The 20744-nt window shown below is 40.0% G+C and overlaps 1 protein-coding gene and 1 pseudogene across 3 annotated transcripts in view; one reads left to right on the top strand and one right to left on the bottom strand.

Moving 5' to 3' along the window:
- The window catches only part of TRPM6 (transient receptor potential cation channel subfamily M member 6), a 165427-nt gene that overhangs the window by 87723 nt on the left and 56960 nt on the right, over window positions 1-20744 (top strand). For all 3 annotated transcript variants that reach the window (NM_017662.5, NM_001177310.2, NM_001177311.2), the window contains exons 18-23: window positions 3306-3458; window positions 7429-7575; window positions 11457-11585; window positions 14074-14325; window positions 17346-17520; window positions 17723-17837. In NM_017662.5, coding sequence (NP_060132.3) covers window positions 3306-3458; window positions 7429-7575; window positions 11457-11585; window positions 14074-14325; window positions 17346-17520; window positions 17723-17837 — 971 coding nt within the window. The remainder of the gene's footprint in view (window positions 1-3305; window positions 3459-7428; window positions 7576-11456; window positions 11586-14073; window positions 14326-17345; window positions 17521-17722; window positions 17838-20744) is intronic.
- Window positions 58-304, bottom strand: RN7SKP47 (RN7SK pseudogene 47; annotated as a pseudogene).

The raw sequence follows: 20744 nt of genomic DNA, 5'->3' as shown, positions 1-20744 counted from the left end.
GTACTCGAGTTACATTTTGTTCCAGAATTGTGTCTTCAGGAAAACCAGTTAATATATTTGAGAGCTCATTTGGAGGTTCTAGCAGGGGACTGCAGCTACTCGTATACCCTTGACAGAAGATTGGTCTTCCTCTATCGGGGATGGTCGTCTTCTGCGACTGAGCGACAGAGCGTGCAGCTTTGGGAGGGATGCACATGGAGTGGTGAGGGAGGAAGGGGACACCTGCCTAGCCAGCCAGATCAGCTGAATCAACCCTGGCGATCAATGGGGTGACAGATGTCACAGCCAGATCGCCCTCACATCCTAGTTAATATATTTGATTCTCACAGAAGATCTGGGGTCTTCCCAGAGGAATCTGTGAAGACGACTTTTATCTCCCATGGCCACAGTTTCCTTTTGAAAAATGGGTATAATTTTACCTGCCCTGTCCACCACAAAGGTGAGGGTGCTTACACATTAAAAGCATAGACAAACATGCAAGATTTCATTATTACTAGTTGCTATTGCCTCCAATAATTACAACAAAAGTAAATGAGACTTTTTACTGAATTTTTTTCTCGGTGTAAGAATACTAACAGATAATAAACTAAATAGAATTAATAACTTCTGTTGTTCTGCTTACCCAATGTGTGTGTGTGTGTGTGTGTGTATGTGTGTGTGTTTTTTTTTGAGAGAATAAGTGACTGTTTCATAAGGCTGCCCTCCAATACATTTGTTCATATGACTAACCATCTCAAATTTCTCAGCCTCATCTATTATCTTAAATTATCAAGAATAATTTAGTTGACTGCTAAGGACATTTAATCTTTGACATCAAACCTAAGTCTAAAGGCTTTAGGTTATGGACAAGCTTAAGGAGTACATATACTTATGAAACCAAATAAATAAAAAGAGACAAAGAGTGACTATTAAGAACTACATAAGTCTGTATTTTATATTTTAATTTTATTTTTCCTAGAGTTCTTAAAAATATGATGTGTCCCAAACATGACTATTTTTCCACTGATGAAATTATAGAAATAAGAGAAATGTCAACCAAAAAGGATCTCAACATAAATCCTTTTAAAGAAAATATCAGAAACAATAATTGTTTTCAGAAGTTCTCCAATGATTTGCTTTGATTGCACCCTTGGAACTGAGGAATCAGAGATGTGAATGGGTTCACCTCTAGCTACATAAGTTCAATGTTCAGGGAGTGAGATAAGATATAGATAGCTGGTAGTTTGAGAAATAATTTTCCTCATGTTTCTGTCCTGTATATACTCTAGTTTACTAGAAATCCTTATTTCTGAGAACTTAATGAATTCTTGTTCTTCATATACTTCATACCAAAAAGGAGACTTGTGAAGTAAGACTAAATGTTTTGCCCCAAAAGATAGAGTGAGTTAATAATAAAAAAGGCTGAGTTAGCTACTTAAAGTCTCTAAGCTGCAGTAAACATTCTTCTCCAGTGTTTAGATGCTACTTTATCAGTGCTTGGTTGGTGAGTTTTAGAAACACATTTGCAAATAATTGTGAGATGTCCTGGCTAGGCTAATTCCAAGTAGAAGAATACTGTAGGAAAACCATGTAGAGAGATGTGGATGGGAAAACTCATTGTAATGCTCCATCAAATCCCTTAGAGATGGGATACTGATGTTGTCAAATACTATTTCATAAGCCAGCTGTTCTGCAATGCACAAGGGCAATAGAATGTGGGGCCTCTTCAGGAAGTTGTCTAGAGATTAATTAGTACAATATTACCACTGGGCATGATAACTGCGATTTTTCCAGACCTAGAAGATTGCACGTATTTTGGGTTGTACATCTGGACAAAAAACAAACACACAAATAAAATCCTATTAGAACTGGAGAAAGTCCAGAGAATCTTCCTAGGAGATCAAGCTTTAAAACAGGGTGACAAAAGATAATTTCATCATGAAAAAAAAAAAAAGAAGGTTGACAAGGATATGACTTCGGTTTACCATACTTAATAATGAATGCCAACTAGTCAATTTAAATCTTCTTTTTCATCACTGAATACCAGAATACTAAGGCCTACTTTTAGCTTGAAAGAAGTAGTGTTCATCAAGTTGATATCAGAGCATTTAGTAAATCTTTTAAACTCTTTACCTTGGAAGGCCATACAAGTTGAACTTAAAAATTTTTTTTGAAAAGACTGTTAGTAATTAATGAATAATAGCAATATAATGAAAAAAACTTGTGGATGTCTGGATCTATACCCTCCTTGGGTTTTACTAGTAGAGAAAAGATACGTGTGGGATGGGAGATGGATCTAACAGAAGGTGACGGTATACTTTTAGATTCTTGATTTTATAATATCAACTAATTTTAATGTGTTTTATGTGGTAATAGCTACTTAATGGCTTTAAAATATTATTAAAGCAGTGTGCTCATTGAAAAATAATACCTGTCACTGCCCTGTCCTGCCACTCCTAGAGATAAATAATTACAGTGTAGTATACATATTTTTAAACGTTTAAATACATATTTATATGCATATAAATAGCTAAGATTTTTAATTTTATTTTTTAACAAAAATGGGATCACTCTATGTTCTTCTATACAGTTGGCTCTTCATATCCATGGGTTCCACATCTGCAGATTTAATCAACTTCAGATAAAAAATATTTGGAAAAACACCCCCAAATAAATAACAATACAATAAAAGTTATACAAATGAAAAATCAATATAGTACAACTATTTATATAGCATTTACATTGTATTAGGTATTATAAGTAATTTAGAGATGCTTTAAAGTATAGGGTAGGATGTGCATAGGTTATATGGAAATACAACACCATTTGATGTCAGGGACTTGAGCAGCCTCAGATTTTGGTATCCTTGGGGTCGGGGGTCAGGGGTGTCCTGGCTCCAATCCCCTTTGGACACCAAGAGGTAACTGTAATTTGATCTTTTCACTTAACAATATAGCGTGGCTACCTTTTCATTATATTCAACATTGCCTTGGTCTTTTTAATGGTTGCACAGTATTCCACTATTAGGTTATTCCAGACCAGCTGTCCCTCTCTAGATAGACATTTAGGTTGACACCAGTGTTTTGCTTTTCCAAATAGTCCTGCAATGAACATTCTTATCTGCAAATGCTTGTACTCATGAGTATTTCTGAGAGAAACACTAGAACTGAAGTTGCCGAGTCAAAAAATTATTTATAGAAATGCGATGAAAATTGACTGGGATGGGTCTGGCATTTTATATACACTGAAATTCTTAATTTTGTTATTTGTCTAGTATGTGCTTTTGTAGTCCCTACTACTTTGTTTTGCTTTTTTTTCTTTTACAGATTATTATAAGCATTATTTTACCACCCACCATTTTGACACTGGAATTTAAAAGCAAAGCTGAGATGTCACATGTTCCCCAGTCCCAGGACTTCCAATTTATGTGGTATTACAGTGACCAGAACGCCAGCAGTTCCAAAGAAAGTGCTTCTGTGGTTAGTGCAAAATCATAATGAACTGAATTTTCATTGTATTGACTGCACGCAAATATACACATCCTTAAAGTTTACTTATATAGCCATCTATTAAACAAAAGTTATGTTGCCTATATTTCAGGCCTGTGATGACATATGGTCCTGGGGTACATTATTTTAAAATGCCTCTGACCAATCAAGCATTTAGTTCTCTTAATCTTAATCATATTATGCTATGGTCAGGTATATTATGTACAATAGAACTAATTAAGCCCTGTACACAATTAAGCAAAATATTCTATTTCTACTTCAAAGCCAAAATCAAAGACGTGGTTTGGACATAGCCATATACCAATTTATTAATTCAATGACTCATTTGTGGCCACTTTACATGTGCTAGAGGTTCTGTGGACACTGAATTAATTAAGGCAGATGCAGCCTTTTCAACTGTGGGGCTTACAATCAGAATATCCACAATATCTCACCATTGTTCAATTAAAACAGGTATTGAAAAAGTGTTTCAAGTCTGTTCACTATAAATGGCTTATAATCATAACAACAATCTTTCTTTTGTCTTTGAATTTAACTTAAGCAGTAATTATTAATAAGCTGCTATGTTTTTAGAATTTTCTAGGCATGGTGTAAGGGGTGGAGGCAGCACTTTTGATGGGGTAGATAAGATTTCATAACACTGATTAAGTAATGCAATTTATTAGTTGAGGAACATAATTTGCATTACGTATTGTGGCAGGAAACTGAAGGCAGGTGATACTTAGATGCTCTTTAGAGTGTCACTGTGTTGTCTTCTTGTGGTAATAGTGGGTAATAATGAATATAAAGAAGGCACTTCTGGTAATTAGAGAAGGAAAGCCATTATTCTGGAGCTGAAGCTGTATAGCATCAAATACTGCATTTACTCACTGAGGTTTTATAAAACTCCTTACTGAAATTTCTACAGGCAGAATAACTTTGCCATGTGAAATTTAGATCTTTTTAGCTGATAACCTCTTGAAAACATGACCTGTGATGACTTGAGTTTTCTTAGGACTAAATTACAGTAAGATGGCAGAATGGGTTAACCAACAGCAGAAGAAGACTCTTCCCATTAGGAGTCAGTAGGTAAGGATTAGGGGTTAGTGACAGTTTTATGATTGGGTTGGTGTTTGAGCCTGACTTGACGATGTGGTGAGGGAAAAGAGCATATCAGTGAGAAGGAGACTATCAACAGGGTCATGGAGTTGGGAAGTGGCAAGGTATATGTAAAGCATCGCAAGTGGTATGGTTCAGCTGGAATCTAGGTTATGAGGGTTATGTGACAAGCTGGGAGTACTTGTAGGAATGGCTGGAAAGTAGATTGAGGCTAGATCATGTAGAATCTTGTATATCCTGTGAAGGAGTATGATTTTTATTCTGTAGGTTACGGACAGCCAGTGAATGTGTATGCCAGAGTAGTGAGATGATCTGACTATTAGAGAAATTATTCTGCCTCCAGGGCATAGGATGGTTTAGCAAGAAGACTGGCTGGAAGCAGGGTAGGCCAGGGTAGCCATCCAGGTGAGAAGCAATAAGTCCTTTAACGAGAGTCAGTAGCAATGGACGTGGAGAGGAAGAGGGTCTTTTAAACAAGGCCGTCTTGAAGGGACACAAGGATAACTGGAGAAGGAGTGGGTTTGGAAGGGGAAAGATGAGCTCGGTCTTAGACAGGTCGATAAATCACAGTGAAATAATACTAAGAAAGTTGTATAACAAAATCTATTCTATCAGAGCATAATTAAGTGGGAAATATGACTGCAAAACAGATATGGGGGGAAGACTTATTGTTGTAGTCATAATTTTAATCTGTGTATCAGATTACAATTAGAAAAAAAGAGTGTGGGGTGGTCAGGGGGTGTGGGGGGTGAGGGGAGCTGTATATATATAATAAAAGTTATTCAAGTCACATGTTTTTGTCTTTACCTTCTTCTCAGTAAAAAAAAATCTGAATTTATGTTCTCAGGTTGTCTTCATCATAGCAATTGGTGTCTTTGAATTCAACTCAGAGACAGGCCCGATCAGCACTTTATAATTCACTCCAAACTGTCAAGAGCAATTAAGAGCTAATGAAACACTCCTAGAAAAATAATAAGAGAAGTTATTTAATAATAAAGTCATTACTTAAATTGCTTTCTGGGGTCTTTCTGATGTGGTGTTGATGTCATTAAAAGCTCATAAATGATGACTTTTCTAATTGGTTTTACACCATTTTAATTCTAGCCTGGTTCAAACCTGCTAGGAATTGGGCCAATTCCTACATTTCTAAGTCAATCCTAACCTCACTGCCCAAAGTGAAATAAATGACTGAATAATTAATTAGGCACTGACGATAACCCATCTAGATGCCCGAGGCCTTAAAAGTCACATTTTTCTGCAATTATATGGACAACTCAAGCAAAATTTGATTCATTCCTTGGCTTAAAAAATTTTGCTAATCTTGCAGGTCTGACATTAAAGAGATAACTTTTGTGGCTACGTTGCAAGAATGGACTAGTTTGAGAGGCAGCAGAGAACATTCTTTTCTTTTAATATTACTTTAAAAAATTAAAAATTACATGTGTTTCCTATTAAAAAACTAAAACCACCTAGAAATCTACACAGTAGAGTGATATCGCTTTTGCTTTCCTTTCGCTACCCTTACATTGCTGCTTCTTAAAGGTAGCCAGGCTATAAATGCTTCTTTTCTTGTCTTGTCTTGTCTCTTCTTTTCCTTTTTCTCTTTTCTTTTCTCTTCCTTTCCTTCCTCTTTTCAAAGCTCATTCTGCATGGGTGTTTGTATAGTCACATTCAGGCAACTCCTGCTCTGCCTTACATATACTCATTGCTAATTCTCTACATGAGTTAATTCCCTTGGACTGACACATACCTTTTTGGTAGTTGATGAAAAATCTGATTCTTTCCCCAGAAAAATGCATGTACAACACAAATACTTGCACATGGTTGCAGGGTGTTCAAGGAACTCTGGAAGCTCAGAGAGCACATGAACTGCAGGCAAACAGACCCTCTGCTATAAATCAGTGGGGATGCTATCGAAGGTCAGAATCCTAAAACTAATGCAGTGCCTGAATTTCCTATGACAAGGAATGGCCATGCATCATCAATGTATGCTCAATTTCTTCTGTGTTAAGGAAATAATTGTATTGTTCATTACTGATTTCACAGGGATTTTAGGAGTATCCTTAGGTTCCAAAATTTAAAAACATACAAAAATTAGCCAGGTGTGGTGGCGGGTGACTGTAAGCCCAGCTACTTGGGAGGCTGAGGTATGAGAATCTCTTGAACCTGGGAGGCGGAGGTTGGTTGCAGGGAGCCGAGACCACGCCATTGCACCCCAGCCTGGGCGACAAGAGCAAGACTTCATCTCAAAAAAAAGGATATTGGGAACAGGGACCAATTTTTAAATCCTTGGAACTATTCTTACTTTGGGTTTGATTACTACAGAGTCAGCTTGTATTTCAGAAATACCTCATGTGTTTTAACTGGTCAGTAATTTATACAGTACATGCAGTTTTCTCTCCCTTCAAAGGTAAGATTATAATTTGGCATGTGGGTGCCCAATTATTATTATTTTTTGAGACAGAGTCTCACTCTGTCACCCAGGCTGGAGTGCGGTGGCATGATATCGGCTCACTGTAACCTCTGCCTCCCGGGTTCAAGCGATTCTTTTGCTCAGCCTCCCAAGTAGTTGGGATTGCAGATATGTGCCACCACACTCTACTTATTTTTATATTTTTAGTAGAGGCAGGGTTTCTCCATGCTGGCCAGGCTGGTCTCGAACTCCTGACCTCAGATGATCTGCCCACCTTGGCCTCCCAAAGTGCTGGGATTACAGGTGTGAGCCACCGCCCCCAGCCAACTAATTTCTAATATATTATTTATGATATTTTTTGGATGTTCATGCTTGTCACTATTTTAGTTAAGCTGCTGACAAGAAAATGATTATTTGTTTATTTTATAGAAAGAGTATGATTTGGAAAGGGGCCATGATGAGAAACTGGATGAAAATCAGCATTTTGGTTTGGAAAGTGGGCACCAACACCTTCCGTGGACCAGGAAAGTCTATGAGTTCTACAGTGCTCCAATTGTCAAGTTTTGGTTTTATACGGTTGGTCTCATTGCAACAATATATGTCGGATTAATGATGATTGATAGCTAGTGATGATGTTGATAATATGCCTGATTTGCCACTTTGCATTAAAAATGTAGAAACCTAGTTAAAAAAAAGTGAGGGCATGACAAAGTAGGTAGCAAAGAGGACTGGAGGAAGGCAGGGAGAAGTTAGGGTGGAGCTCACCTACTTTTTGGAGTTTGAGAACAAGCATTTTCTTCTCTCTTTGAGTGCTAAGAGTTAGCACTGTTATTGTGGGAAGATCTAGCTGGCTTTGCCCTATTGCTTAGCTTTGCTCCTGTCTCTAAAAACTCTGAGCGAGAAGTTTCCACGGAAAGAAACACTGGAATATTCTTTTCTTAACAGTGTGACTGTGGTTAAAACTCTCTCGGCACTCCTATCAGAGTCCCTCAAGTATGTTGTTGCACATTCCACAAAAGTGGTAAAACCTCACCATTTGAAGGGAGACAGCATTCAAAGATTTGTGGAACAACCAAATTAATAGCAGTGTTTGTAGAATTAAGCAATAGGTGGGTGGATTCTTCTTAGAAAATCAGCAATTGAGGCCAGGCGTGGTGGCTCACGCCTGTAATTCCAGCACTTTGGGAGGCCGAGGCGGGCAGATCACAAGGTCAGGAGATTGAGACCATCCTGGGTAACATGGTGAAACCCCGTCTCTACTAAAAATACAAAAAAAGTAGCCGGGCGTGATGGCGGGCGCCTGTAGTCCCAGCTACTCAGGAGGCTGAGGCAGGAGAATGGCGAGAACCCCAGGGGGCAGAGCCTGCAGTGAGCCGAGATTGCGCCGCTACACTCCAGCCTGGGCAACAGAGCGAGACCCCATCTCAAAAAAAAGAAAATCAGCAATTGAATCAGCTTTTTGTTTGTAGGAATGTGTTATATAGGTAGAAAATGATGCAAGTGTTTGGTTTTTTTGCCTTCAGTAGTATATGTTTATAAATATAGAGAGAAAATGAAAAATGTTAGAAGCTGAACTGTGTGAACAAATACTAAATCTATTATGGATAGTAGAGCTACAGAGAAAGCATGAGCTGTGCTTTAGATGTGTTTGGTGCTTTTCACATTTATTTCATAGAATTTTCTTTTCTTTTTTTTTAAATATTTTTTTCCGTAACACAGCCCTCAGGAGATCTGAGAACATGTGCTCCCATAGCATTTATTTTTCTAATGCTTATCTATACTTAAATAGCTCATGGCCAAGAGTTTGTATATCTAAAACATTTGAAGTGTGACTGTAAAAGGATATTTATCTAAATGTGTTGTATTTCCAAATATTTACCTGGCCAACCACACACTTATTTCCTATACTTATTGAATAAGTACGTAGCTGTGTATGATTTTTATCTGTTTCCAAAAATCACATCTGCTTTCAAACAATGAGGTTTTGCTATTTTTGTAATGCGCAACAACATATACGAAAGACTCTGACAGGAGTGCTGGGAGAGTTTTAACCATAGTCATACCATTGGGAAAAGCGTATTTAGGCATTTCTTCCCTTGGAAATTTCTAGTTCAGGAGCTTTAAGAAACAGGAACAAAGCTAAGCAATAGCACAAAACCAGCCAGATCTGCCCACCATGGTGTTTTTAATAATTGGAAAGAAACAAATAGAGTCAGAAGCAATACTGCCAATGTCCAGAGTGTTTAGTGCTTAATTTTACCTAGGTGTGAGTACTTTGGTTGCTTGTAGCCTTTATGTGATGCCACTTTGGACTAAAGAGTAAGTGGACTTAACATAGCCTTTAGGAATCCAACCTGTTCTCAAGTAGAGGAATTGTGCTGCTTTCTCAATCTGAATATCTACTTATCGAATATGTTTGTAGTCTTTTGCTTATAAATCTTCCAGATTCGTATAGTTGTACACTATATAGAAAGAAAGTTATGGCTGAGGGTAACCTAAGATTCAGGTCATTCAATTCGATTTTACTGAGACCTAACTGCTGTCTTTAAGACATAGTATACTAGGCAGCAGAGGGGCGGTGAGAAGAAGACGTTGCCAAACATCAATACTGACCTCAAACAGCTTACAGTTATGTAGGGGAGACCATTAATGTACGTAAATGAGTCCAGTATAAGGAATCAGTATAAGGAGATAACAAAATACAAATAATAAAATATATACAGACAAATGGGCTAAGGTCTGAACCTCGGAGTAAAAGTTAAGGAGTAAATTGTCTAACTATGCTGAAACCAATGACAAAAAACTTTTAAGTTGCTTGAAAGAACAAATTAACTTAAAGTGTGTCCCTAAGGAGTCATCAAAAAAACTCAGACTTTGAGATATAGACCAAGAGAAGTATAGAATTATTGAAATTTACCTTTACTTTCTTATATGCTTCTCTTCTACACTTCCTTAAATCATAGGCACTAATATCCATTATGACTGCCTAAAAGACCACCTATTGCCAATAATACCATTCTTACATAGTTAGAAATGGTTTAAGCTATTCTCTATGTTATCTGTGCAGAACTAAAGTTAGAAGCAGACTTATCCATTTAGGTAGATAAAAATGTATGAGAAATAGGAATCAAGGTTAAAATAATATGACTTGTGAGAATGAACCCACACACACACACACACACACACACACACATTTTTCTCTCAACTGATTTTCTTTTTTTTTTTTTTTTTTTTTTTTTGAGATGGAGTCTTGCTCTGTCACCCAGGCTGGAGTGCAATGGTGCAATCTCGGCTCACTGCAACCTCGGCCTTCTGGGTTCAAGAGATGCTCTTGCCTCAGTCTCCTGAGTAACTGGGATTACAGGTGTGCACCACCATGCCTAGCTAATTTTTTGTATTTTTAGTAGAGACGGGGTTTCACCATGCTGGCCAGGCTGGTCTCGAACTCCTAACCTCAGGTGATCCACCCGCCTTGGCCTCCCAAAGGGCTGGGATTATAGGCATGAGCCACCGCATCCAGCCGATACAAGGTTTTTAAATGCAAGTATTGATCAGTGAGCACTGGGTGTTGTCTCTGAGGCTATTTAGAGGACTGCAGTCTCATACATTGTTGATAATAGTGTAATTTGGTAAAGCCCTTCTGTCAGAAAATTTAGTAATATTTGTCACAGTTTTCAATGCGCATGGACAGATATTCTGCTTCTGGGACTATATCTTAAGAAGATAAGAATATTAGGTAAGATTACAAAGCTATTAATCACTATGTATCTATATGTGTGATCACTATGTCTTAATTCTTTCAAGACTTTGGAAATCTAGGCATACATATATATACACAGTAATTAGACAAACATTTATTGAATGTCTATCATGTGTCAAGCAGAGTGCTGAGTGCTGAGTGCTGAAGATATAAATATTGACAAACGGTCCTTAATTAAAAGGGCTCACAGTTGGACACAACTTTTCTATTAAACAGAGTATTTTAATCAACATAAAATAGAACTCCCAGCAGTGGTAAATGCCACAGTTCATTGTATTTGAAAATAAGCATCTATTGCCACTGCGGATCTGGCATGCTTCACACGTTTTCTTTCTGTGTTTAAGATGGAGGGGAAGACCTGTGATTCCTCCTGGGCTTGCTGTTAGCTTGCCAGTGCCCCTGTTGGATGTGCAGGGTCCTGGAAATGCCAGTCACGAGCCAGCAGAAAGGCACAATGTGTCCTTCCATGCATCTGAGAACAGTGATTTCATTCCTGCCTCTAAATCCTAGACTAGAACACCATGGATTGTTGTGCTTTCCTTGATAGTAGGTCATCAATAACCCGAAGGTGGTCCTAGTTCTGTGTTCGTGTTATCATGTTGAAGTTCATGCCTGGGTTTCTGCTCCATCTGCGTCTCCTTGGCATGCTCCATGCTTGCTCTCACTCACATCTGGGGAATGTGTGTCCCCCTCACAGATGGCGTATTTGGCATTCCTCATGCTGTTCACTTACACCGTGTTGGTGGAGATGCAGCCCCAGCCCAGCGTGCAGGAGTGGCTTGTTAGCATTTACATCTTCACCAATGCTATTGAGGTGGTCAGGGAGGTGAGTTATGCCATCTACCTTTATCTTCTGCATATGTCCTCAGCTTCTGTAGGTGTCCACTGAAAGACTCCTTGGCTCTGGTGATGAAAATGGACATGTCAAGGGTGGGGGAAGACAGGACACACTGACCTTGACTTACATGCTGCATAAAGGTTATTTGGGGGAGAATCCTTGATTCCAGCCCTTTATCCTTGTCAGCTGCTTTCTGCTGGTTGGTGCACTTTGGAAGCAGTTATCTTTGAAGTGGATATCTTGGTGTGTTTACCAATCCTAAAGGATAGATGATGCCATAGAATTGTATTAAACCCTCCAACTATTTGATTTCCCCAAGTTTTTTTGTTTGTTTGTTTTTGTTTGGTGGGGTTGATTTTTGTTGCCTAGCATTATTTTCATATTATCAATTTCATCTAATGAGTGGCATAAATGGCTGAAGTTGTGCAATATCTAAGGAATATGTTTATAGTTTTTGAAAGCTCCTACCAAACACTTTGAAAATTGAAGCTGGAAATCTCTCTGAGGCAAATAGTCCAAGAAACAAAAAACCAAAACTTTTAAAAATTTCTAGTTCGTAATGAGTTACTTTAAAAAAAAAAGGAGGGGGCCAGGCGTGGTGGCTTATGTTTGTAATCCCAGCACTTTGGGAGGCCGAGGCAGGCAGATCACGAGGTCAGGAGATCGAGACCATCTTGGCTAACATGGTGAAACCCCGTCTCTACTAAAAATACAAAAAATTAGCCGGGCATGGTGGCATGCACCTGTAATCCCAGCTACTTGGGAGGCTAAGGCAGGAGAATTGCTTGAATCCAGGAGGTGGAGGTTGCAGTGAGCCAAGATCGCACCACTGCACTCCAGCCTGTGTGACAGAGCGAGACTCCGTCTCAAACAAAAACAAAAACAAAACCAAAAACTAGCATTCCTATCAGTTATAACTGTAATCATAAATATTTGTGACTCAGACTGTTTTAGATGTCAATGTATGCCTCTGTGTCTGTGTATTTACCTATATTTATTTTGTCTTAGAGGTAATATAACCAACATTGTATACTTCTTTGTAATTATACCTATGTTGCCTGCTAATTCCTATGTGGAGTTTATAGATTATAGAAAATCAGGAGAGAAACAGATAGTTATCTGAATTGTACCCTTTTTTTTAATGCTTCAGGGAAAATCGGTGTACTATTTTACATTTCTGTTTGTCTGACACGGTGTTTCAGGGGTATTTTCTTATCTTAGTGAGTTCCAATATCACATTCTTTTTTTTTCTTTTTTTTTTTCTTTTGAGACAGAGTCTTGCTCTGTCACCCAGGCTGGAGTGCAGTGGTGAGATCTCGGCTCACTGCAACCTCTGCCTCCCAGGTTCAAGCAGTTCTCCTGCCTTAGCCTCCGGAGTAGCTGGGATTACAGGTGCCTGCCACCACACCCAGCTAATTTTTGTATTTTTAGCAGAGACAGGGTTTCACCATGTTGGCCAGGCTGGTCTTGAACTCCTGACCTCAAGTGATCCACCTGCCTCGGCCTCCCAAAGTGTCGGGATTACAGGCGTGAGCCACTGCACCCAGCCTAATTTTTGTATTTTTAGTAGAGACGGGGTTTCATCATGTTGGCCAGGCTGGTCTCGAACTCCTGACCTCAAGTGATCCACCTGCCTCGGCCTCCCAAAGTGTTGGGATTACAGGCGTGAGCCACTGCACCCGGCCCAATATCATATTCTTAGTAGTTTGTCAACAACTCACTAAATAGCAGTAGTCGGACTGGATTACAGGATTCCTTGCTCCATCCAGTGTTCTTTGCACCCTGCTGTGCCTCCTGAAATGAAATCGTAGCTATACAGATCCACAGCAGTATTGAGTTTTATTTATTTGTTTATTTATTTTGAGACAGAGCCTCGCTCTGTCACCCAGGCTGGAGTGCGGTGGTGCGATTTCAGCTCACTGCAAGCTCCGCCTCCCGGGTTCATGCCATTCTCCTGCCTCAGACTCCCGAGTAGCTGGGACTACAGGCACCCGCAACCACGCCCGGCTAATTTTTTGTATTTTTAGTAGAGATGGGGTTTCACCGTTTTAGCCAGGATGATCTCGATCTCCTGACCTCCGTGATCCACCTGCCTCGGCCTCCCAAAGTGCTGGGATTACAGGCATGAGCCACCGCGCCCAGCCTGCAGTATTGAGTTTTAAAATGTCTTGGTGTTTTCTCATGCTATTTCAGGATTATTGAAAGCTAGAAAAAGTGCTTTCTATTTTTTTGACTTCTAGTTGGAGTTTCAAGTGACAATCTGGTATTATCAAATGACTTAAATTATATCTGTATAGCATTGTTTAAATAATTCATTACTGATGATAACTTAAGTCTCTGAAATCCGCAAGTGATTTAAGGTTTGGCAGGTTTTAGATTACTCTTTCAGTGAATGGTTTGTGTATTTAAGAAGATCATATTGATGGGATTCTTTGGTTGTACCTCCTTTTTAAAGTTTCCTTCTTCCTTCTTTTAGATCTGTATTTCAGAACCTGGGAAGTTTACCCAAAAGGTGAAGGTATGGATTAGTGAGTACTGGAACTTAACAGAAACTGTGGCCATTGGCCTGTTTTCAGCTGGCTTCGTCCTTCGATGGGGTGACCCTCCTTTTCACACAGCGGGAAGACTGATCTACTGCATAGACATCATATTCTGGTTCTCACGGCTCCTGGACTTCTTTGCTGTGAATCAACATGCAGGTCCATATGTGACCATGATTGCAAAAATGGTGAGTACAGTCTAGTTTTATATCCTGGTATTCTTTTTTAAAATTATTTTTAGCCAGGTGTGGTGGCTCACACCTGTAATCCCAGCACTTTGGGAGGCCAAGGCGGGCGGATCACAAGGTCAGGAGATCAAGAACATCCTGGCTAACAGGGTGAAACCCCGTCTCTACTAAAAATACAAAAAAATTAGCCGGGCATGGTGGTGGGCACCTGTAGTCCCAGCTACTCAGGAGGCTGAGGCGGGAGAATAGCACGAACCCGGGAGGCGGAGCTTGCAGTGAGCCGAGATTGCGCCACTGCACTCCAGCTTGAGCGACAGAGCGAGACTCCATCTCAAAAAAAAAAGGTTTTCAAAAGAATTCTTGTGGGTACATAAGTAACTGTATGTATTTACGGGGTATATGGAATATTTTGATATAGGCATACAATGCATAATAATCACATCAGGGTAAATGGGGTATTCATCACCTCGAGCATTAATCCTTTGTGTTACAAACAACTCACTTATACTCTTTTAGTTATTTTTAAATGTACATTTAATTATTATTAACTATAGTCACCCTGTTGTTCTAGTGTTCTTTGTAAAGATGCTATGTTGTGCAGGCTAGATTTGAACTGTTGGGCTCAAGGGATCCTCCCATCTCAGTGTCCTGAGTAGCTGGGACTATAGGCATGCACCATCACGCCTGGCTTCTTTTTAATGGTTCTTCATCGTTTATATCCGATAGTTTAACTTTCGAAATTATTATTATTATTATCATCATTATGTGAGACAGGGTCTTGCTCTGTCACCTAGGCTGGAGTGCAGTGGTGCGATCACGGCTCACTGCACCCTCACCCTCCCAGGCTCAAGAAATCCTCAACCACCTGAGTAACTGGGACCACAGGCACACACCATCATGCCAAGCTAATTATTTTTTATTATTTATATAGACAGGGTCCCACTATGTTGCCCAGGCTGGTCTCAAACTCCTGAGCTCAAATGATCCTCCTGCCTCAGCCTCCCAAAATGCTGGGATTACAGGCATGAGCCATTGTGCCTCGCTATCTTGGAATTATTTATAGAAGCACAGCGAGCAAGATCATGTCACCACTGCCTTCCATATAACCACAAACTAGTATTAGCAAATGACCTTGGATAGTATATTGCATAGTTAGTTTGTTGGGACACTCAGCTTACCCTTTTGATTAGGACCAGATGGTATGGGATTGAGTCAAATCTGTCTCTGAGCACAGTAATTCCCAAGGACGAGATTCATGTGAGGCTACCACCAATGATATTTTCTGCTAAAATATCCGTTTATTCTTGTATCACTCACTGACTCTCCCCTACCATCACACTCTTAAATCGTGCTTACTATAGGCCACACACTGTTCTAGGTAATTAGTATGTATTAACTCATTTAATCTTAGTAACAACTTTAGGAGATAGGTAGTATTATTATACACATTTACATACAAGGAAATGGAGGTTAAGCAAATTCCTCAAAGGAATATATGGGGAGCCAGGATTCAAAATTGGGCCACCTAGCTCCAGTCTGTCACCTGAGCTTGCCGTACAGTTGTGTCAGCTTTTTCTTTTTTTCTTTTTCTTTCTTTTTTTTTTTTTTTCTGAGATGGAGTCTTGCTCTGTTGTCCAGGCTGGAGTGCAGTGGCGCAATCTCTGCTCACTGCAACCTCCACTTCCTGCGTTCAAGCGATTCTCCTGCCTCAGCTTCCTGAGTAGCCTATAGTAGGGACTACAGGCACTTGCCACCATGCCCGGCTAATTTTTTATTTTTTAGTAGAGACGGGGTTTCACCATGTTGGCCAAGCTAGTCTCAAACTCTTGACCTCAAGTGATCCGCTCGCCTCGGCCTCCCAAAGTGCTGGGATTACAGGCGTGAGCTACTGAGCCCGGCCGGCTTTTTCCATCTGGCTGTTCACAAGGACCTAAGACCTACGCTTTAATAAGTACAGTGTCTCAAGATCATCTTTGGCTTTTCCTTCTAGGATACTTACTGGCAGGGAAGGGGCAAGTTCTGGAGATTGAAGGGTAGTGCTGAGACAAACAAACAAAGAGGACAGAAAAGAGACAACCTCCAGGACTCCAAAGATTTTTCCTATTTGACATTTTTCTCTTAGACCAGAAATGTTTTCTCTTGTCTTGGTGACATTAGTCTTTATGAGATAGGCTATGCCGAGATAACCAATATATTTCAATGACTTAGCACAAAGGTATTTCTCCCTAATGCAAGGTTTGGTGAGTGCTCATGGGGGCTGTCCTCTATGCAGTGACTCAGGAATCTGGGATCCCTTTGTCTTGTGACATAGCTATGTGAACATTTAGCTCCTAAGGTCTATGGTAGGGAGTGAGAGGGATGGAGAAAGTCTAATGGCTTTTAACTGCTCTGGACAAGAAGTGCCCAAGTCACCATCAAACCACAGCCCACTGGCTTGAATACGTTTCACAGCCCCAGCCTAATGGAAGGAAAGCTAAGAGATGTAGAGTAGCTCTTGAAATAATGATGGGAATTGTGGTGAGTGCTCTGTCTGTTACAGTAAACTAATGGACTGAGTTGATGTACATTTAGTAGATGGAATTAAACTGGCTTGATCAGTTTCTTAGACTCTAATCAATTCCTGAAGACAATTCTGGGAATAAGGAGCCATTGGACTAATTCAACAATACCCTATTTTTTTTTTTTTATTTTCCTAACCTATGGTCCAACTGGGGGCAAACTTAGATATTAGCTAATCAAAAAGTGTTCACAATTCATTACTGCTTAAACAAAGAAGCACAGATTCTCTCCTCTCAGCACATTTATATTATTCCATAGACCAAGTTGACTTGAAATGCATACTGTGTGAGAAAACAAGAGTTTAGCCAAAGAAAGTCTAGCTGTTCCTGCACAAGGGTGTTTTAGTCAATGACTAGACAATCTTATTATTTGCAGGTATAGTTATGATGGCTGCTGGTGTTTGGTTTCTTTTGAACTTCAAATCTGTGGTAAAATTCTGGTTGTACTATGCTCTTTTGCAGACAGCAAACATGTTCTATATTGTGATCATCATGGCCATAGTCCTGCTGAGCTTTGGAGTGGCACGCAAGGCCATCCTTTCGCCAAAAGAGCCACCATCTTGGAGTCTAGCTCGAGATATTGTATTTGAGCCATACTGGATGATATACGGAGAAGTCTATGCTGGAGAAATAGATGGTGTGTATGGGATTTTACCGTCATGCAGAAATTGTGCCTTCATAGTTAACAAGAGTAAAATACATCTGAAAAACAATCATCTAAATCTTAAAAATGTTTGAATTTATGGTATTCTGTGCAGTTAATGTGCTAAATGTGTGTCTAGAGTGGCAGGACTGTGATTCATCTTATCTTTCATTCTTTTAAAATTCTTTATTTGTAGTTTGTTCAAGCCAGCCATCCTGCCCTCCTGGTTCTTTTCTTACTCCATTCTTGCAAGCTGTCTACCTCTTCGTGCAATATATCATCATGGTGAACCTGTTGATTGCTTTCTTCAAGTAGGTTATTTCAATTAAATATGATTATTTAAATAAGAAATGTGGGCAGATATGTTGAGTAGATTCACATGTACTTTGAGTATGTAACCTTTGATTTTTGTGTGTTCTATATTTATTATTATTGTTTTGAAATATGCACATAAAACTACTGATAAGAAGGACATGGAGCATGGGAAACAGTGAAATAATAAATGCAGTCATCCATCGTTATCTGTGGAGGACTTGTTCTAGGACCCCCTGCAGATACCAAACTCTATGGATGCTCCAGTCCCTTATAGAAAATGGTGTAGTATTTCATATAACCTAGGCACATCCTCCTGTATACTTTAAAGCATCTCTAAATTCTCTATAATACCTAATATAGTATTAATGCGATGTAAATGGTTGCTATACTGTATTGTTGAGGGAATAATGACAAAGATAAAACGTCTCTGCATGTTCAGCACAGACACGATCATCCTTTTCTTTTCCCCAAATATTTTCAATCTGTGGTTATTTGAATCCACAGATGTGGAACCCGCAGATATGGAGAACTGACTGTGGGGGGAAAGTACAATGTAACAACATCAAAATGCAAGGAGATCTTGAGTTGTGATTAGGCAGTAAGTTCGAATTATGAAAGGATAGCAAGTGATGGAATTGCAAGTTGGTTAAGGAGTTCTTGATATGCTTTCTTCACTTGCTCCCAGCTTCCCCTGTTCTCTGTTTTCTCTCTTTCTCTCTCTCTCTTTCTTCCTCTCCTTTCCTCTCCTCTCCTTTCCTCTCTTTCGTTTCCTTTTCTTTTCTTTTCCTTTCTTTCTTTTTCTTCTTTTTTTTTTTTTTTTTGAGATAGAGTCTTGCTCTGTTACCCAGGCTGGAGTGCAGTTGGTGTGACCCCAGCTCACTGCAACCTCTGCCTCCTGGGTTCAAGCAATTCTCCTGCCTCAGCCTCCCAAGTAGATGGGATTACAGGCGCCTGCCACCATGCCTGGCTAATTTTTGTATTTTTAGTAGAGACGGGGTTTCACCGTGTTGACCAGGCTGGTCTCAAATTCCTGACCTCAAGTGATCCACCTGCCTCTGCCTCCCTAAGTGCTGGGATTATAGGAGTGAGCCACTGTGCCAGGCCCTCTGTTTTCTTCTCTGTCACTTCTCACTACTTCTCAATCTTCTTTTCTGGATCATCTTCTCCCCAACCTTTTAACATTGGAATGTCCCTGAGCCCGGACCTGCCTCTTCCTTTATTTATGCTTTTTGTGATCTCTTTCAGTTTCCTGTATATCCTGAGCACACCCAATTTATATCCCCAGCCCAGTTCTCTTTCTTAAACTCCAGCCATGGAGATCCAACTGGCCCCTTCCTTCACCAGTTAGAAATTTAATAGATTTCTAAAATTTAAAATACCCAAACTCTTCATCTCCCCTCTTTCCCAACATACTTTTATTTATAATATTTAATGTAGTCTTTCCCAAATCTGTGAGGAAGAACACGAGTTTTTGTTGATGTTCCAGCTTTTCAGTTGTTTACACCAAAAACTAAGTAGTCCTTCTTACTTTTTCTCTGCTCTACACCATGATTCTGTACATGGAGTCATTCTTAATGTCTCTTGAACCTCTACCTCTAAACTCTCAGGAACTTCTGTTAACTCAACCTTCAAATAGATAACTGATTTAATGACCTCTCACTACCCCACTGTTACCACAGAGCCTCTAATTTATCTCTCTGCTTCTGTCTTTGACTCCCTATATTCTTTTCTCAACACAGTAGTCCAAATGACCCTTTAAAAGCAGACATCAGAGGATATTACTCTTCTGCTCCAAACTCTTCAGTGCCTCCCATTTTACTTCTGGGTAAAAGTTTAAGTCACTACAATGACTTATATGGCCCCATGTGAGTTGGCTTTTCTGTCACTTCGTTTTTTTTTTTTTGAGACGGAGTTTCACTTTTGTCACCCAGGCTAGAGTGCAATGGCACGATCTCAGCTCACTGCAACCTCTGCCTCCCAGGTTCAAGCAGGTGTCCTACCTCAGCCTCCCAAGTGGCTGGGATTGCAGGTGTGTGCCACACACCTGGCTAATTTTTGTATTTCTAGTAGAGACAGGGTTTCACCCTGTTGGCCAGGCTGGTCTCAAATTCCTGCACCCACCTCGGCCTCCCAAAGTGCTGGGATTACAGGTGTGAGCCACCATGCCTGGCCCCTGTCACTTTTTTTTTTTTGAGTCTCTCTCTGTTGTCCAGGCTGGACTGCACTGGTGTTATCTCGGCTCACTGCAACCTTTGCCTCCCGGGTTCAAGTGATTCTTCTGCCTCAGCCTCCCGAGTAGCTGGGACTACAGGTGCATGCCACCACACCCGGCTAATTTTTGTATTTTTAGTAGAGACAGAGTTTCACCATATTGGCCAGGCTGGTCTTGAACTCCTGACCTTGTGATCCGCCCACCTTGGCCTCCCAAAGTGCTGGGATTACAGGTGTGAGCCACTGCGCCCAGCCGTCACTTCTTAAATCATGCATCACACTAGTCTTCCCCTGACCCATTCCTCTCCAACCACATTGGCCCCTCAGTTTTTCAGACCATACAGGTGCCTTTGCACTTGCTATTCCCTCTGCCTAGAATGCTTTTCCTGCAGCTACCAGTATGGGCCACTTCCTCACCTCTTCTCGTCTTGCTCAGAAGCAAGCAATTTACCTCAAACACTGAAAAGAGTGCCTGACACATATTTGTTTCCTAGACAAAAGAAACCAAGTGAAGTAATGGGAAGAAACTCATATTTTCTAGATGCCTCTTAACTGTCAGGCACTGTGCTAGGTATTTGATTCCTTGCTTATCTTACTGAAGAGGAAAATATAACAAGTAACAAAAGTAGGGAAGACAGGGGTTGAGAGTCAGCAAAGTAAATCAAAATTCTTTTAAAAAAAAAGTGACTGCT

This window comes from Homo sapiens, chromosome 9 (assembly GCF_000001405.40).
Source record: "Homo sapiens chromosome 9, GRCh38.p14 Primary Assembly".
NCBI classification, from domain to species: Eukaryota; Metazoa; Chordata; class Mammalia; order Primates; family Hominidae; genus Homo; species Homo sapiens.
This window is presented reverse-complemented; position numbering and strand designations above follow the sequence as displayed.